This window comes from Homo sapiens, chromosome 20 (genome assembly GCF_000001405.40).
Source record: "Homo sapiens chromosome 20, GRCh38.p14 Primary Assembly".
Taxonomy (NCBI): domain Eukaryota; kingdom Metazoa; phylum Chordata; class Mammalia; order Primates; family Hominidae; genus Homo; species Homo sapiens.
The window spans coordinates 63,289,968-63,307,670 of NC_000020.11; the positions used below are offsets into that span (position 1 = coordinate 63,289,968).

Sequence of the window (17,703 nt, forward strand, 5' to 3'; positions counted from 1 at the left end):
TTCTGGGGAGTAGGGGAGCAGGCAGCTGGGTGACCCAGCCAGGGAAGAGTTTACGGGGTCCTGGCATGTGCCTCCGGCTGGCCAGCGAGACACTGTGGTGGGGTCCAGTGACCCTTGGCCTGGGGAGGTGGGCAGTGGCTCCTGTAGTAGAGGATGGCACCAGGGCTTGTGTCTAGGAGGGCTCCTGCCCCTCCCAGGGATTCAACACCCCCTATGCTGGGGACGATCCCAGCCCGTATCCAGGAAACTCAAGGTGCCACCTGATGCTGGGGTTGGAGGGCAAGGAGGGTGGCTGTAGCCAGGAGAGGCCCACAGAGGTCCTGGAGTCTCTGTGTCTCAACTGGGTGGCTCCCAAGGGTCATCCTGCTCTGGGGCAGCGCTTTAGGGCAGGTGGGCTGAGGTCAGAACTGCCGGATGGGGAAGACGAAAGTGGCGGGTCCCGGCCAGGCTTTGTGGGCCTGGGGTCCGTTCTTGGCTGAAGCCTGGTCTCGGTCTCTGGCCAGCTTGGTGGGGCATGGGCAGTAACGCTGCACAGCTCCCGGCCTCCAGCATGCAGTTCCACCCCCACCGTGGCTCCAGGAGTCCAGGCTGACCACGCTGGGCACCTTCTGCCACCCGTCTCTTCCCTTGAGCCGGCCTCTGCTGTCTGTCCCCAGATACTGGCGTGACCCAGTGGATGCTCAAGGCCAGCTTCTGCCCTTCCCGAAACTTTTCTAAGTGCACTGGGTTTCCCCTGGCCACCCACTCATCGCGCCTGCTGGCATTGCTGTCCCCCTGTTGAGCCTTCCAGGGACAAGCCCTGCCCCATGAGCCTTCATTGCTGGCCGACAGAGGGGGCTGGGTGAGGCTGACGGCTGTGGGGCCTGGCCCTGCTCTGTTCTGACCCAGCCAACACAGGCGGGGGTTGGGGGTCAGTCCCCAGAGCACTGAGGCTTCTCGGGGGCTGGAGGCTGCACAGGAGGCCACTGGGGCCATGTCCCCAATTCTGGGACCTGTGGGCCTGGGATCCCACCTGGAACCGGGTGATATGTGACTGGCCACAAGCATGCGGGGGGTTCCTGTGGGGTTGGGGCCTCAGGCCACAGTACCCTGGTGAGGAGAGGACAGTGGCCGACCCAGGTTCTGTCCTGTCCCTTTGTCGTTTGTGACCCCGGCAGCTCGCCGGCCCTGCCTGAGCCGGATCACTGCCACGTGGTCTGAGGGGTGCTGCAGAGGTGTCAGGAGTCCAGGAGCAGGGGCGGGGTGAACAGGCAGACGGGTCCGCCCTTGTGGAGCTCACATTTCATGAGCCAGGAGTGCTGGGTGCCTGACTGCCTGGTCTGTGATGACCCTGACGCTGGCTTGCATGTGTGGGATGTGGGTGCACATACCTGTTCCCAGGAGCCTGTGAGCCGGGGCTGCACCCCTGCGCCCGGTGCCTGGTGCCTGGTGCCCGTCTGCCAGCCTGGGCGCCCTCCTCTGGCCATGGCCAGGACTGCAGGCACCACCGGCCCCCTGGGAGCCCGCCACGGCGACGACCTGACACCATCTCTCAGGCTGCTCCTCCGGGACAGCCAGTTGGTGGATGGGCTGTGCAAGAGGTGGCCATGGGTGGGGTGTGGTGGCTCACACCTGTAATCCCAGCACTGTCGGAGGCCGAGGCGGGTGGATCACCTGAGGTCGGGAGTTTGAGACCAGCCTGGCCAACATGGTGAAACCCCATCTCTACTAAAAATACAAAAATTAGCTGGGTGTGGTGGTGGGTGCCTGTAATCTCAGCTACTCATGAGGCCGAGGCAGGAGAATCGCTGGAACCCGGGAGGCTGAGGTTGCCGTGAGCCGAGATTGCGGCATTGTTCTCTAGCCCAGGTGACAACAGCAAGACTCCATCTCGAGAAAAAGGAGGTGCTCATGAAGAGGTGTATCCTGAATCTGAATCGGTGTGGCCCAGGGATCCAGGGAGGTGTGGAGAGGTTGGCCCCTCTCCTCCGCAGCATCCAGCCTGGGCCTTTGCCTCCAGCAGGTGTCACCTCTTCCTCTGTGGCCGCTGTGCCAGCGCTGGCCTCTCACCGAGCACCTCCAGCTCATCTCTTGCCTCTGGAGGCTGAGCCTGGGGCCAGGCCAAGTGGTTTCTCTTCAGCTACCAGAGCAGCAGGCAGGGTCGGGAGAGGCTCATCCTCCCTCAGGCCTCAGGCAACCCAGGGTCGGGAGGCCTCGAGGGGGCTGGCCCTTTCGCACTGTCCTGAGTGCAGAGGAGGCATGGACTTGGGGACTGGGCTCACAAGGCCGACAGCTGCCTCCAGTGGTCCTGAAGCACCCATGCGACGCGTGGTATTAGGCTGGGGTCCTTAAAGACAGAGGTAGGGACACGTATTTGGGTGCACTCGGGTCTATCGGGGAGGCAGATGCCTCGGCCGGATCCACCTTGAGCTGTGGACAGTGAGTGTCTTAGGAGGCTGTGCAGTGAGGCCGGGATGCCCACACTTGCGTCACCACCCAGTCATTGGGCAAGGGCCGCTGGGGTGCATCTGTTATCTCCCAGGCAGTCCCGGGGCAGGGACAGCTGTGAGCGGTGGGCCCTTTATAGCCAGCAGGTGCTACGGGACTCTGCGCTGCCTAGGTGGGGCCTTACGTCACAGCACGGGTGGGACAGGGGCAGGGCCAGGGCAGGGGCAGGGCCAGTGTTGGGCTGGTCCAGTTGGGAGCAGCCCAGGGTCCCGTCGGGTCAGGGGCCTGTTTTCCAGGCCTGGGCACCTGCTGAAGCTCTGGTTACCGGCACCAGTCTGCAAAGTGGGTTGGGTGGTGGCAGCCTTCAGGATGGGCTGGGAGGGCATACTGGGGGAGGGGAAGGGTGACCACATGGGTGGGGGACCAGGTGCCACTGCAGCCTGCTCCCCACAGTGGGCAGCCAGAATCCCTAGTGTCCAGCACCCACACGTGGCGGCCTTGGCATCTGAGTGGCTTTCCCTGTGAGCCCCTCCTTGCAGGATGGACCCTCTGGGAGTGAGGAGTAAAAGTGTTGGGCCGTGCAGCCCCTGCCTCCTCACTGGTGGGACCCTGCCCTGCTGTGCAGTGGGGTCCTTCGTGCTGGGATCTTTGTGGTCCCCGTTCTTGGAGAGATGCCCGGGGCGGCAGACAGGAAGGGTGGAGGGCAAAGGGAGGGGAGGAGAGAGAGGCAGGCCGAGGGGTGGGTCGGGGGGTGGGCTGGGGCAGTGACTTCTGTGGAGGAGAAGCCTTTCATAAGCTCCAGCCTTCCTGTGGCCACAGCAGGACCAGAGTGGACCAGCACACCCCAGGAGAGAGGACTGGGGTCCCAGGAGTAGGAGGAGGTGGGTGACTTCCCTGTGGTCCTGAGGCTGGGTGGATAAGGGGCTGCCAGGAGATCCACTCAGCCTGTGATCTGAGGGTGACTGACTTTCAGAAAAGTCTAGATAGAGGCCAAGTGCCCCTGTGAGCCACAGGACCGGGGTGCCCAGCACGCACAGGGTGTGGCCAGGAGGGGCCGGGGCAGTGGGAGCCCGGGGCTGCCTGAGCTCTCACCAAGGGCTCCCTTCTGGGGGTCTCAGACAACATCCAGGGCTGTGGGGGAACGAGGAGGGTGCACATCGAGCAGAGAGCGGCTTGCACTTCAGGCTGGATGCCTGTGGCCCTGGCAGGGGTCCCACTGAGTCAAGCCAGGTTTCTGGGGTGGGAGGATCCAGGGACTTGGGGGCACTCGGGCTGCCCACTGGTGCCTCTGTGATCAGTTTGGGAGCCCAGCCCTCAGGTGCCTCCTGTTCCAATGCCTGGGTCTTACCTGACTGCCCTTGGCCGGCCGGGCGGGCATGAAATCCCTGATTTAAGCCGGTGGCTTTCCCGCCGGGTGAGGCCTTTCCCTTGCAGAGGAGCAGATTCCCTGGTGGGGATACTGGGGTCACACACTGGGAGGGGGCGTGTATTGGGGGGGTCTCTGTTCGGCTGCAGGGGGTGGGAGGGCCTGGGTCACTCAGGACCCTAGAACCCTACTGTGTGGGAGGCTGGGGCTCACAGAACCAGGGCCTGCACTCAAGCCATGCCCTCAGCTCAGCACAGAGGGGTAGGGGCCCGGCCTGCCGGGAGTGCTCTGTCTGCTTTCTGAAGGCCCGAGTTGGTGCGTGGGGTGAGGGGCTGGCATGAGCAGTCTCGGGGAGCGGGAGTGCAGGGGAGCGGAGTGTGAGGGGAGGGGGAGTGCGGGGGGAGGGGAGTGCGGGGGAGGGGGCGTGCAGGGGACTGGGGGTGCAGGGGACTGGGGGTGCAGGGGAACGGAGTGCAAGTGAACCCCCGGCATTTCTTCTTCAGCCCTGGGCGTGGTGGCAGGTGGAGGACTCGGGCCTGGCAGCTGACATGCTCCCCACCTCTCCGAGTGGCACCTCTGGGCACTGGTCACTGGGTTACCCTGGCCTCTGAGTCCCCCTCAGCTGCTCCTCAGAGCACCCCAAATCCAACCTCCACTCCCAGCCCCTTTGAGTGGGCCGGGCCTGGTTTTTTCTGGTCCTCCTTGTAGCCCACTCAGCTCTCCAGTGGCCCTGGCGGCCTCCCTGTCTCGGCCTCAGAGCCGTGTGCCCGTGGCACACACACCCTGCACCCCCGGCTGGCGTCCCCCAGACCCACCCGCTCCCCACTCCTACTAGGCAGCTCTCACTCTCCTCCACAGGTCTCTGATGACCCTTCCGCCTCCAGGGCGAGGCTGGGGCCACAGGGACTCCACATGTCCAGCAATCAGACATTGCCTGGAGAGCTCGCCCCTTGCCTCAGCCCTCCGTGGCCCTCGGGAGCCCCACAAGCAGGAGGCCCCGTGCCCGTCCCAGCCACCCCTGCACTGGGCGTGGGGACAACTGGGGGCTGGGGGTCCTGTTGTCACTCAGAGCAGCCCCCGGTGGTGTAAATGCCAAGAGTGGGGTGGGAGTGGGAGGCAGCCCCAGCTCTAGCCTTGGGTCCTTGAGTTTTAGGCAGCTGGGAGGTATCCCCTAGACAACAGGTTGCAGGCCTCTGGTCCTCACACATGTGAGGGGTGGAGCCCGGTGTGGGGACAGGCTGCCTGGCCCTCGAGGATTTGGAGAAGCTCTGGCGTTGTGGTCAGGGAGAGGACAGACGGGGGGACGGCTGAAGGGCATGGCCTCTTCCCTGCCACAGCCCGAGCACCATGAGCTCCGGAGACCCTGCACACCTCGGCCTCTGCCTCTGGCTGTGGCTGGGCGCCACCCTGGGAAGAGAGCAAGTTCAAGGTAAGGACACTGGCAGTGGGCCCCTGCTTGCCCCGAGGCCACGCCTGCCCCACCAGTGCCCACGCGGGACGAGCCCTCCGCCCCTGAGCCCCGTCTTCCTCCTAAGTTGAATGCGTGCTGAATTCACAGCAGCTCCCACAACAAAGGCAAGACGGGAGGGAGCGTGTGCTCCCGCCAAACCTTCAGCCTCGCCTTGGGAGCACATCTCTGTGGTTTAGTTCTCTGTTATATTAATGCTTGGCCGAGAGTTATTCCACGAACACCTTTCGGAGCAGTCTCTAGGAAGCAGGAGGCTGGGGTAAAGATGGAGCCGCCTTCCCTTCCCTCCTGCCTGCTTCCCACCGCCGCCTCCCACTGGTGTTTTGGGCACATAGCCCTCTGGCTTCTCTCGGTGCGGCACTCGCATTTCCACGCAGCACCACCCCCTCCGTGCGCATCCCTGGGCGACAGCACCACGTCCTCAGAAGGCCCCTCCAGTCTGGCTGCTACTGGTTGGGGCGTTTGGGTAACGTAGGGCACCGCCCATGGCAGCAAAGGGAAATGGCAGAGGATGCTGTGGGCTCACCTGTCTGAGCAGCTTCTTCCTCCTGTTGAGAAATGTGGGTTTAGATTGACTCTAGGAAGGTGAATTTCCGTGTCTATGGAGAAGGCTCCGGGGCCTCGGCCACGCTGTAAACTTGTCCCTGGGCTGGGCCAACGCGGCGCCTCCCGGCACCTGCAAGCTCCTGGGAGGTTCCGGGCTCCCACTGAGCGATGGTTTTGTTCCGCTGGGGTGAAAGGCAGCTCCCCCTTCTACTGTGCGTTTAAAGCACCCCCACCAGGGCCTGACAGGCCGGGGCGAGGGAGCCTCCAGGTGCCGCTGCCATTGCAGAAGGGCGGGTGAGATGCGGGAGCCCCGGTGTAGCGTGGAGCCGCCTGTTGAGACCCTTCCGGGTTTCACGGCTTGTCTTGCCATGCTGATGTGCCAGGTTTGCCCTGCACACAGGCAACAGACCATTGCATGAGCAGGTGCCTTGGTCCCCTCAGCTCAGACAGGGTAACCCTGCCCTGGGGCCAGTGGGGGCTGAGATTTCAGTTTGAAAGAAGCTTGCACTGTCAATTTGAGCCAAATCAGTAAGTTGCTTCTACAGAAACAACTTGAGTTTAGGCGAAGGCAAATCTAGTTCTATCTAGTTCAGGATTCAGCATGATGGGGCCACCCCTCACAAGGGCCTTTCGGGGGCCATTGAGTCCCTGAGGACAGCCAGGTGGGCTGGGGGCACTGAGTCCAGCCCAGGACGGGTGGGAGCCCACACGCTGGGGCAGCCCTTCCCAGGATGGCCCAGGCTGGGTGCGGCCACAGTCCAGGGAGGGGAGCGTGGTCCTGGGTGGGGCCCTTCCCACCAGCCGCTGTCTGCCCAGTGCCCTGCTCAGGCCCCAACAGTGCTGTCCTCCAGCAGGGAGCTGGGGAAGGGGTCCCTGACGTTCTCAGGCAGAGTGGAGCAACAGAAGGCTCTTCACAAGCAGGGGCTGCGGGAGGGGCCCTGCTCACAGCTGGCCTTCAGAGCCCCCTCCTCATCCCCCACACATTCCTGCCTTTCAGCCCCATCCGGAGACCCGGCCCAGCTGCTGCCTGCTCTGAATGGGTCATTGTGTCTGCCCCAGTGCCCCCCAGCCCCTGCTCTTCCCCCCGAGCCCCAGCTTTCCGGGGGGCAGCCCAAAGAAGCCCATCTCTGTCCCCATTTTCCAAAAATAGCTGCCCCTACTGCAGAGCCCCGGAAGCTTTCAGGGGGCACCAACCCTCTCCAGAGCCCTGGGAGGTTGGCCAGGCCCCTGCCGCCCCCTCTTCCTCTCAGATGGCCTGGACACCCATCCCCCATCGCGGGAGGCAGCCTCGTCTTGGCATGGACGCACACATGTACCAACGTGCACACACGTGCCAATGTGCACACACTTCCAGTGTGGGATTCTGCACCCACACTCCCCACTGAGGCGGCACGTGCACCTGGCAGTGACCTTGGCAGCTAGGGGTCTGCAGCTGCATGGCCACTTGTCCTGGGGACCCAGCCCAGGGGACTCAGCCCAGGGGCCCCAGCCCAGGGGACTTAGCTCAGGGGACCCAGCCTGGGGACTCAGCCCAGGGGCCCCAGCTCAGGGGACTTAGCTCAGGGGACCCAGCCCAGGGGACCCAGCTCAGGGGACTCAGCTCAGGGGACCCAGCCCAGGGGACTCAGCCCAGGGGCCCCAGCCCAGGGGACTTAGCTCAGGGGACCCAGCCCGGGGACTCAGCCCAGGGGCCCCAGCTCAGGGGACTCAGCTCAGGGCCCTGGGCAGGTTGCCAGCTGCTGTGTTGGCTCGGGGCCTCCGATCATCAGTGGGGTGGTTGCTGTCCTCCCAGACATGGGCCTGAGCCTCTTCCTGGTGGGAGGACCCCCGGAGAGCCAGGCTGGGGCCTCCCTGGGTGGGACTGGACTCCCTCTCACCAAAGCTACCAGGGTGGCCCTGTGACTGCGGACCCCGGGGAGGGCCGGGTTCTCCTCAGCGCCCAGGCGAGGCCTCGTATCCCCAAGTGGGGCTGAGTCCGCCTCAGACACCCTGGGTGGGCTTCTGTCTCTTCGGGGTCCCCCGGGATAGGACTGTGTTCCTCCCAAATGCTGAGGGCAGGATGCCTGTACCCCCACAGCTGATTAGGTGGATGGGGAGGCCAGGTCAGTCCTGACCACTATGTCCTGTTTCTGTAGCAAGCGGTCTCCTGAGGCTGGCTGTGCTGCCTGAGGACCGGCTGCAGATGAAGTGGAGAGAGTCGGAGGGGAGCGGCCTCGGCTACCTGGTGCAGGTGAAGCCCATGGCAGGTGAGGACCTGCCCCTCCCAGGCCCCCTTCCCCATTAGCACGTGCCGAGGACAGTCAGTGTGGTGGCCGCAGCCACCACTCAGGCCCACAGCATCCCTCCCACCAGCCCCTTAGTGTCAGCACCTCTCTGGCCTTGGTCTCTGCTGACCCACATTCCTTTCCCCCGTCACATATGACATGGAAGAGGGAATGGGGCTCCTCTGTCCCTGGCACGCAGCCCCTGCAGAAGGCATTCAGTACATACTTTTAATTTTTTTGATTTTTAATTTCAATTTTTAATTTTTTTTAAAGGCAGGGTCTTGCTGTGTTGCCCAGACTGGAGTGCAGTGGTGCGATCACAGCTCCCCGCAGCCTCAATCTCCCGAGCTCAGGAGATCCTCCCACCTCAGCCTCCTGTGTAGCTGGGAGTACAGGTGCGTGCCACCACTCCTGGCTAATTTTTGTATTTTTTGTGGAGAAGAGGTTTCACCATGTTGCCCAGGCTGGTCTTGAACTGGGCTCAGGAGATCCGCCCCCCTCAGCCTCTCACAGTGCTGGGATTACAGGCGTGAACCACCATGCCCGGTCCATATTTTTTAAAGAAACGACTCCCTCCTCAGAACGAGTCTCAATGCGTCAGGGGCATTCAGAACAGCCTGGACTCCGCACAGCGAACCCCAGAAGCACCTGCTCCCCACGCGTTAATCCTTGTTTCCAGGAGCAGGGCCTTGAGGACACCTTTTCAGGGAACCCTGTTCCTAGAGCAGGAACAGTCCTAACCTGACAATGGGTGCTAATTTTAAAGCTTTTCAAAACTCAGATGGAAAAGCACACAGGCATAAATGCTAACTGTATGAATCAGCACTGTGGGGTGGCCAACTCAAACCCCTCCTGGGGTGGAAAACGACCGTCCCGGGTGCCCCGGTGCCCTTGCCAACGTCCACCCTCCCCTGCTCCCTGGACGGCCGCCTCCAACAGCATGGACTAGTTTGCCTGTTTCAGAACATTCTCTAAGTGGAATCACACCATGGCGACTCCCTCATGTCTGTGTCTTTGGTGGGCATTTTGTGAGGTTTGCCCCGTGGTGTGTAACAGCCGTCCATTTTCTTTGCTGTATAGTATTCCCCTGTGTGATCTCTTCTGCTATTGATGGACATGTGGCTTGTGTCCAGGTTGGCTGTTGTGTAGACGCCGTGTGAGGGATCCCGCGTGTGTTTCTGGTGTCCGTGCGCCTGTTCTGGGTGTAAACCCAGGAGTGGAAGTGCCACAGTGTGTGCATAGTTTCAACGTTAGTAGAAAATGTTGAACTATTTTCCAAAGGGGTCGTGCCAGTGTATACTCCCGTCAACACTGTATGATTGCTTCCGTTGCATGACACCCTTGGCAACCAACGCTTGGCAGCCTGACTGGAGCTACTCTGGTGGGTGTTCAGTGGTATCCTGTGTTTCTTTGTGGAGCTGTAATTTACGTGCAGAAATCTTCACCCTTTTGAGAAGAGGTCTGTGATTTGTATTTATCACATGAATTCAATCCTGTAGCCGCTATCACAATTGATGTAGAGAACAGTTCTGTTACCCCAAGGTCAGCCCTTAGCCCAGTGCCCGTAACCACTGAGCTGTTTTCTGTTTTGCCTTTTCCAGATAGATGGACCTTATCAGGTTCAGTCCTGTGCTGTTCCTACGTAAGGCTGAGTTTTTGTCAAGAGAATGCATTATTTTTTCCAAACTTTTTCTTCAGTGAGGTGGTTATTTTCTCCTTTATTTGATTAATGTAGTAAACTACAGTGATTGATTTTTTAAATATTAAACATAATATATACATATATACATATATATGTATATATACGTGTGTGTGTATACATATATACGTTGTGTGTATATATATATGTACGTGTGTGTGTGTGTGTATATATATATGTATACCTTAAGAGACAGGGTCTCACTCTGTCACCCGGGCTGGAGTGCACAGTGCAGTGGCACAGTCATAGCTCACTGCAGCCTCCATCTCCTGGCCTCAAGCAGTCTTCTCACCTTGACCTCCCAAAGCACTGGGATTACAGGGGTGAGCCACTGTACCTGGCCTATCCCCTTTTATATGTTATTAAATCAATTTGCAAATATTTCATTTAAGATTTTTATACTTATATTCATGAGGGAATATTGGCCAATAACTACCCTTTCTTATAAAGTCCTTTTAAAGTTTGGTATCAGCTTTATACCTCATAAGATGAGGTGGGGAAGGATTCCTCTTATTCTGTTTTCTGGAAGAGTTTGTGTAATGTTGGTGGTATTTTTTTCCTTAAATGTTTGCTAGAATTCACTGGTACTGACTTCTGGGCTTGTGGTGTGTGTGTATGTGTGTAAATACTTCACATAATTGATTCAATTTCCTTAACAGACATAGGACTACTCAGATTTTCTAATTTTTTTGGTCAGTTTTGGTAAGTTAGTTTTTTAAACAGGAATTTGTATTTTATATAAATTTCCTGATTAGTTGGCATAATGTTTTTCATATTACCCCATAGACTCTATAGTTATAGCACCCTTTTCATTCCCGTTATTGATTGAATCTTCTCTCTGCTTTCAAAAGGCAGTCTGGAAGTTTATTTACTTTATTAGTCTTTTAATAAAACACATTTTGGCTTGGTTGGTCTGTCGTTGATTTTGTTTATTTTTTATTGTTGTTTCTATTTCTTTTACTCTGTGTTTAATTTTCTGCTCTAACTTAAGATGGATGCTTAAGTTCATTGATTTTCTGCCCTTTTACAAGATATAAAGTTAAAACTATTGAATTTTCTTCTAAGCAGTAGCTATAGCTGCATTTTGATATGTAGAATTTTCATTATCATTCAGGTAAAAATATCTAATTTTTGTTACGATATTTTTATTTGACCCATAGGCTACTTAGAAGTGTGTTTCTCAGTTTTAAAACATGGGGGATTTTCTACTTATTTTTTGTTTTGGATTTCTTCCTTCATTGCATTGTGGCCAGAAATGTACAATATGCTTTCAGTCCTTTGGAAAGTACCTTGCTGGCCGGGCGTGGTGGCTCACGCCTATAATCCCAGCTCTTTGGGAGGCCAAGGTGGGCAGATCACTTGAGGACAGGAGTTTGAGACCACCCTGTCCAACATGGCAAAACCCCGTCTCTACTAAACATACAAAAATTAGCTGGGCGTGGTGGCACACACCTGTAATCCCAGCTACTCGGGAGGCTGAGGCAGGAGAATCGCTTGAACCTGGGAGGTGGAGGTTGCAGTGAGCCGAGATGGCACCACTGCACTCCAGTCTGGGTGACAGAGCAAGACTCCGTCTCAAAAAAAAAGTACCTCGCTTTATGGTCCAGCATATGATCAATTTGGTCAATGTTCCATGTGACTTTGAAAATATATGCAATTTGCAGTTGTTGGGTAGAGTTTTCTAATGTTCTAATTAAGTCATTTACCTTATTTTTCAGATTTTTTATATAGTTACTATGTTTGGGGTCTACTTATGCTGTTACTGAAAAAAGTATTTCAAATCTCCATTCTAATTGTAGATGTGTCTTTCTTGTGGTTGTCTTACTGTTCTTTGCTTTATGCATGAGGCTCTGTTATTGGGTACATACAAACTTAGAATGATTGTATCTTCCTGGTAGGTTGACCCTTTTTCATTTTGAAATGCTCTTCATTATCTCTCTAGTGCTGTTTTTTTCCTTACATCTTACTTGTGATGGTACTATTGCTTCACCAGGTAGTGTTTGCATTAAATCTCCTTTCTCCTTCTTTTACTGTTAATCTTTCTCCAGCCTTTCATTTTAGATGTGTCTTCTAAGCAGCATATAATTGGGTATTGTTTTCACCCAGTGTGACAGTCTTTGTCTTTTTATTAAAAGATTTTTTCCATTTATATTTAATGAAATTAATGATACATTTGAGTTTATATCTATAATCTTCCCTTTTTATTACACTTGTTATAAGTTTTTATTCTCCGCTTTCTTGTCTTTGTTTGAACTGATTTTTCAATGGAAAAATTTAAACACAGGCAAAAGAAGAGACCATAGTATAATGAAACCTCATGTTTTCATGATGCAGCTTTCAGCAATTATCAGCGTGCGGCCAATATTGTTTTATGTCCCTCTCCTCAACCCCCCTCTACATTCTATATTATCTTAAAGCAAATCCCAGGCATTATATAATCCTGTCTATAAATATTTCAATATGTTTCTCTAAAAGACTCAATCATAACCCCAATACCATGAGCAGCTCCCAAATTTAAAATGTTTCAGTACTATCATGGAATATTTAGTTGTGTAGAGTTTTCTAACTTGATGCATGTCTTTTATTAATTAATTAATTATTGAGATGGAATCTCACTCTGTCACTCAGGCTGGAGTGCAGTGGCATGATCTTGGCTCACTGAAGCCTCCTGCTTCCAGGTTCAAGCAGTTCTCCTGCCTCAGCCTCCTGAGTAGCTGGGATTACAGGCACGTGCCACCACGCCCAGCTAATTTTTGTACTTTTAGTAGAGACGGGGTTTCACTGTGTTGGCCAGGCTGGTCTCGAACTCCTGACCTCAGGTGATCCACCTGCCTCGGCCTCCCAAAGTGCTGGGATTCCAGGCGTGAGTCACCGCGCCTGGTCTTGATGCATGTCTTTTACAATTGATTTGTCTGAATTGGGGTGTGAACAGAGTCTACACACTGTGTTTGGTTCCTGTGTCTTAAGCAATTTTTAATCTAAAGCAGTTTCCCCCTCTCCCTTTTCCTTGACATTTATTTGTAGAAGAAGAAACAAGATTGTTCTGTCGAACTTCCCACTTTCTTCTCTTGCCAGTGGCATCTTTGGGGAGCCGTTTAGCTCGCTCCTTCGTCTCTCCACCCTGTCTCCCATAGACTGGCAGTTACATCCTGGAAGTTTGGTCAGACTCAAGTTTGATTATATTTGTTAACAAGAATTCTTTATCAGTGGTGCTGTGTAACTCCTGCGTTACCACAGCTGGCGGTACATAATGTCTGGTGTGTCTTGTGAAGTTAAGATTGTTCAGTAGGTATGGGGTGATTATTCCCTGATGCCATCAACTTGGTGATTCTATATTCTTTTACCCTTCAAGTAACCACACTAGCGACCACAACATACAGCCTTGATTTATCAGCATATGATATACATAATGGTTGTCTCAGCTGTCCCCAGGCAACGCTAGGACCTTAGAACATCACAATAATATTTATCCCATTTTCAAGCACTTGTGTTTATTTATTGATTTTTGAAATGGGGTCTCACTATACTGCCCAGGCTGGACTCAAACTCCTGGGCTCAAGTGATTCTGCCACCTCAGCCTCCCAAGTAGATGGGATTACAGGCATGCCCGGCTTTTAAAATTCTATATTTATATTAAATGTCATAAAACTTTTTCATTATTGTCATTGCTTGTTAATCACGTGTTTGTGCAGGAAGCCTTGGGAATATGACAGACCTGGGCTTCTATCCCACTTCTACTGCGGAGTAGCTGTGTGATTGGTCCTTTGTGCCTCAGTTTTCCTATCTATAAAATGGGTGTAATGGAGTTGTGAAGATTATGAGGCTTGATACCTGTGAAATGCTTAGGATACTGCCAGGCACACAGTGAAAACTCAATAACAGTTAGCTGTTGATGGTAATGACAACACCCCTGCCTCCCATTTGCTCAGCCAAGAACAGAGGGTCCTCCCTGGCTGGTCACTCCCTGGCGCGGGGCTGGGTAGGGCTGTGGGGAGCCACTCACTGCACAGGGAGGATGGTGTCCCTTTTCTTTCCAGGTGTGCAGGTGTGGGTTCCTCCCTCCCTTCCTCCCTCCCTCCCTCCAGGTGTGCAGGTGCTGGCTCCTCCCTCCCTTCCTCCCTCCAGGTGTGCAGGTGTGGGTTCCACCCTCCTCTTCTCCCTGCAGGTGTGCAGGTGTGGGTTCCTCCCTCCTCTTCTCCCTGCAGGTGTGCAGGTGTGGGTTCCTCCCTCCTCTTCTCCCTGCAGGTGCGCAGGTGTGGGTTCCTCCCTCCCTTCCTCCCTCCAGGTGTGCAGGTGTGGGTTCCTCCCTCTCTTCCTCCCTCCCAGTGTGCAGGTGTGGGCTCCTCCCTCCTCTTCTCCCTCCAGGTGTGCAGGTGTGGGTTCCTCCCTCCTCTTCTCCCTCCAGGTGTGCAGGTGTGGGTTCCTCCCTCCCTTCCTCCCTCCAGGTGTGCATGTGTGGGTTCCTCCCTCCCTTCCTCCCTCCAGGTGTGCACGTGTGGGTTCCTCCCTCCCTTCCTCCCTCCAGGTGCGCAGGTGTGGGTTCCTCCCTCCCTTCCTCCCTCCAGGTGTGCAGGTGTGGGTTCCTCCCTCCTCTTCTCCCTGCAGGTGCGCAGGTGTGGGTTCCTCCCTCCCTTCCTCCCTCCAGGTGTGCAGGTGTGGGTTCCTCCCTCCCTTCCTCCCTCCAGGTGTGCAGGTGTGGGTTCCTCCCTCCCTTCCTCCCTCCAGGTGTGCAGGTGTGGGTTCCTCCCTCCTCTTCTCCCTGCAGGTGCGCAGGTGTGGGTTCCTCCCTCCCTTCCTCCCTCCAGGTGTGCAGGTGCTGGCTCCTCCCTCCCTTCCTCCCTCCAGGTGTGCACGTGTGGGTTCCTCCCTCCCTTCCTCCCTCCAGCTGCGCAGATGTGGGTTCCTCCCTCCCTTCCTCCCTCCAGGTGTGCAGGTGTGGGTTCCTCCCTCCTCTTCTCCCTGCAGGTGCGCAGGTGTGGGTTCCTCCCTCCCTCCCTCCCTCGAGGTGTGCAAGTGTGGATTTCTTGCCCTTTTCTCCCTTGCCTTAGCACTTGAGACCCAGAGAATCACCCAGTGCTCACAGTGCCTCTCCAGGTCTGACTGCTGCCTCCTGAGTGCTCTTTCAAGGCCATTTCTTCTTGCTCTTTCCTCTGAGAATATGGCAGTGTCCCCTTTGGAATCATTTGTTTGCTTTTCACACTTGAAATCCAGACCTAACTTTAGAATCATGGAGTCACACAGCAGAAAATACTTGCGGCTGGTCGGTCCGTGCAGCCCATAGGGTAGGAGCCTGTGGGAGTGGGCAGGGCCCTGGCCCCGGACTCTTCCTTCTTGGACCTGGCCCCTCGGGTCGTCATCCCCTCCCTGGGCAGCCCTGTCTTCATACCTTGACAGTATCTCTGAGGGTTGATGGCTTCTCACCTCACCATGCGGCGGATTCCTCTAGGGGGGTTTAGTAAGTGACATCTTCTTTTCACCGCCCCAAGACCCCCATTCTCTGTCACATTATTACCCAGGAGCCCATGTCCCTTCCATCAGACCCTCTCCCTTTCTGTCTCTCTGGCTTCAAGGGGAGCAGCTGGGGTGGGGAGGAGGAGCCAAGAGGGTTTCACTCCCCGCCGTGACAGATGCACACACGTGTGCACCTTGGCCTCTAAAGCTCTCCCCACCCCTACCCAGGGGACTCGGAACAGGAGGTGATACTGACCACCAAGACCCCTAAGGCCACAGTGGGGGGCCTGAGCCCCTCCAAGGGCTACACCTTGCAGATCTTCGAGCTCACTGGCTCTGGGCGCTTCCTGCTAGCTCGGAGGGAGTTTGTGAGTAAGTCCACCGTCTGCCAGCTGGGTACCCACTCCTCCAGGCCGGGTCCCACCCTCCTCTGGGCTGGGGTCCCACCCTCCTCCAGGCTGCGTTCCAGCCCCAGGGGTGGGTATGTGTGAAGCAGTTCTGGGCTGTGCTAGGGGCAGGTTCAAGTCCCGACTCACCAGCAAGGCTGCCTTGCCCCTGACATCTTTGCATGCCTCCCAGGCTCCTGGGCCCTCAGCACCCACAGATGCGCCCTTGAAGGGGTGTATGTGCAGCTGCCCCAGTGGACCAGGCCCTCCACTCCCACCCTGATGGCTCTTTGTGTCTCCCTGCAGTTGAGGATCTGAAGAGTAGCTCCCTGGACAGGAGCAGCCAGAGGCCCCTCGGCTCTGGAGCCCCGGAGCCCACCCCCTCCCACACGGGGAGCCCAGACCCTGAGCAGGCTTCTGAGCCCCAAGTTGCCTTCACACCAAGCCAGGATCCGCGCACTCCTGGTGGGTCAGAGTGGAGAGAGAGTAAGTCTCCGGGGAGGGAGTGACCTTTGGTTTCCCACATTTCCCACCATGAGGCCAGGAAGTTCTTCCTCGTGTCTGACCACACGGTCTCTGACCACGAGGCCAGGAAGTTCTTCCTCGTGTCTGACCACACGGTCTCTGACCACGAGGCCGGGAAGTTCTTCCTCGTGTCTGACCACACGGTCTCTGACCACGAGGCCGGGAAGTTCTTCCTCGTGTCTGACCACACGGTCTCTGACCACGAGGCCGGGAAGTTCTTCCTCGTGTCTGACCACACGGTCTCTGACCACGAGGCCGGGAAGTTCTTCCTCGTGTCTGACCACACGGTCTCTGGCTTTAACTTAAAGTTGCCATGTTCCCAGGTTCACTCAAGCCAGGCCACTGGGAGCAGGTGGTCCCACTACCTCTGACCCCTTTGGGAACCTCCAGCCTGGGTCTAGGGGGTGGTGAGAGGGGTGGGTCATGCTCCCCCAGGAGTGGGATCAGGAGCAGAGCTGGTCCGGGGGCCCTGGAGGGAGGGCCCTGCCCAGCCGGCCCCAGGCGTGGAGAGGTAGAGCCACACCAGGACAGAAGAGAAGCCAGGTAAGGGGTGGGCACAGACGGGGGCAGTGCACTGTGTCTGCCCATAAGGCCCCCGTAGGCAGGGCTGGGCTTCCCCATAGAACTGGGAGGGCCTGGCTTTGTCTCCTCCATCAGACTGGGGTCCTCAGAAGCAGGATTCTACCTCCCCCGTCAGACTTGGAACTGAAGGAAGTGTTCTCCTCAGACTTGGGCATATCCCCTCCAGAGGGTCCTCGGGTCCGCTGCTGTCCTCCCCTCAGGGTGCTGGGCTCTGCTGGGTCCCCTGGACTTGGGCTCCCCCAGGGGAGTGTCCCCACCCATGCAGGCCTCAGGGCAGCTGGGCCTCTTCGGTCGCCCCACGGGGGGCTCCACCGTGATGGCTGCTGGCCTCGTTCAGGCATCTCCCCGGGGGTCTGGCCCTGGCTCTGGGGCCCGCCTCACCAGGCACTGCTCCTGCAAAACCCCGGGGAGCGCCAGACCGGGGATGGCGGCTTTGCCTCCACAGCGCCGCGCTGCGGTGCTCACGGCGGCTCTGCTGGGGCTCTTTGTGGTGCCCACCCTCCCCTCCTTGCCTGGTTTGCACCTGGTGGGCTTCTGGGCCTGATGTCTGGGCGGGCAGCTGCATGCAGCCGTGGAGGGCAGAGGTGCCCGAGCACCAGGCTGCCTCACATTAGCGGTGGCTCGATGTGCAGCCGTGCCGGTGTGGGGCTGTCTAGTCCGGTGAGGCCTGAGGGCCTTGGAGTCCTTTCCCCTGAAACCTGGCCCAGCCTGCCTCACTCTTGTGGCTGGAGCCCCGGGGTAGGTGATCTGGGGGCCTTGGACCAGGGATGGGCCTCACCTAGCACCTGACCCGCTCCCACCGCCCCAGCCGGCCCCCAGTTCCGCTGCCTGCCCCCCGTGCCTGCTGACATGGTCTTCCTGGTGGACGGGTCCTGGAGCATTGGCCACAGTCACTTCCAGCAGGTCAAGGACTTCCTGGCCAGTGTCATCGCACCCTTTGAAATCGGGCCGGATAAGGTCCAAGTAGGTGGGTGCTGGCCCGGCCCGCC

At 57.0% G+C, this 17,703-nt stretch overlaps 1 protein-coding gene across 3 annotated transcripts in view, besides 7 other annotated features; it reads left to right on the plus strand.

Annotated features, from left to right (window-relative positions):
* Positions 729–1,352: an enhancer, noted in NCBI's record as "H3K4me1 hESC enhancer chr20:61922048-61922671 (GRCh37/hg19 assembly coordinates)". NCBI's record gives its function as "activates a minimal SCP1, AML or CMV promoter by ChIP-STARR-seq in naive H9 embryonic stem cells {active_cell/tissue: H9 hESC(naive)}" and the evidence as "EXISTENCE:reporter gene assay evidence [ECO:0000049][PMID:30033119]".
* Positions 729–1,977: a biological region, named in NCBI's record as "H3K4me1 hESC enhancers GRCh37_chr20:61922048-61922671 and GRCh37_chr20:61922672-61923296".
* Positions 1,166–1,215: a silencer, noted in NCBI's record as "silent region_13152". NCBI's record gives its function as "represses an Ori minimal core promoter by ATAC-STARR-seq in GM12878 lymphoblastoid cells {active_cell/tissue: GM12878}" and the evidence as "EXISTENCE:reporter gene assay evidence [ECO:0000049][PMID:35858748]".
* Positions 1,226–1,565: a silencer, noted in NCBI's record as "silent region_13153". NCBI's record gives its function as "represses an Ori minimal core promoter by ATAC-STARR-seq in GM12878 lymphoblastoid cells {active_cell/tissue: GM12878}" and the evidence as "EXISTENCE:reporter gene assay evidence [ECO:0000049][PMID:35858748]".
* Positions 1,353–1,977: an enhancer, noted in NCBI's record as "H3K4me1 hESC enhancer chr20:61922672-61923296 (GRCh37/hg19 assembly coordinates)". NCBI's record gives its function as "activates a minimal SCP1, AML or CMV promoter by ChIP-STARR-seq in naive H9 embryonic stem cells {active_cell/tissue: H9 hESC(naive)}" and the evidence as "EXISTENCE:reporter gene assay evidence [ECO:0000049][PMID:30033119]".
* Positions 3,112–3,613: an enhancer, noted in NCBI's record as "H3K4me1 hESC enhancer chr20:61924431-61924932 (GRCh37/hg19 assembly coordinates)". NCBI's record gives its function as "activates a minimal SCP1, AML or CMV promoter by ChIP-STARR-seq in primed H9 embryonic stem cells {active_cell/tissue: H9 hESC(primed)}" and the evidence as "EXISTENCE:reporter gene assay evidence [ECO:0000049][PMID:30033119]".
* Positions 3,219–17,703, plus strand: part of COL20A1 (collagen type XX alpha 1 chain) — a 41,621-nt gene continuing 27,136 nt past the window's right edge. For all 3 annotated transcript variants that reach the window (XM_011528937.2, NM_020882.4, XM_011528938.2), the window contains exons 1-6: positions 3,219–3,308; positions 5,131–5,222; positions 7,943–8,053; positions 15,450–15,593; positions 15,914–16,072; positions 17,523–17,681. In XM_011528937.2, coding sequence (XP_011527239.1) covers positions 5,141–5,222; positions 7,943–8,053; positions 15,450–15,593; positions 15,914–16,072; positions 17,523–17,681 — 655 coding nt within the window. In that variant the 5' untranslated portion in view covers positions 3,219–3,308; positions 5,131–5,140. The remainder of the gene's footprint in view (positions 3,309–5,130; positions 5,223–7,942; positions 8,054–15,449; positions 15,594–15,913; positions 16,073–17,522; positions 17,682–17,703) is intronic.
* Positions 3,614–4,113: an enhancer, noted in NCBI's record as "H3K4me1 hESC enhancer chr20:61924933-61925432 (GRCh37/hg19 assembly coordinates)". NCBI's record gives its function as "activates a minimal SCP1, AML or CMV promoter by ChIP-STARR-seq in primed H9 embryonic stem cells {active_cell/tissue: H9 hESC(primed)}" and the evidence as "EXISTENCE:reporter gene assay evidence [ECO:0000049][PMID:30033119]".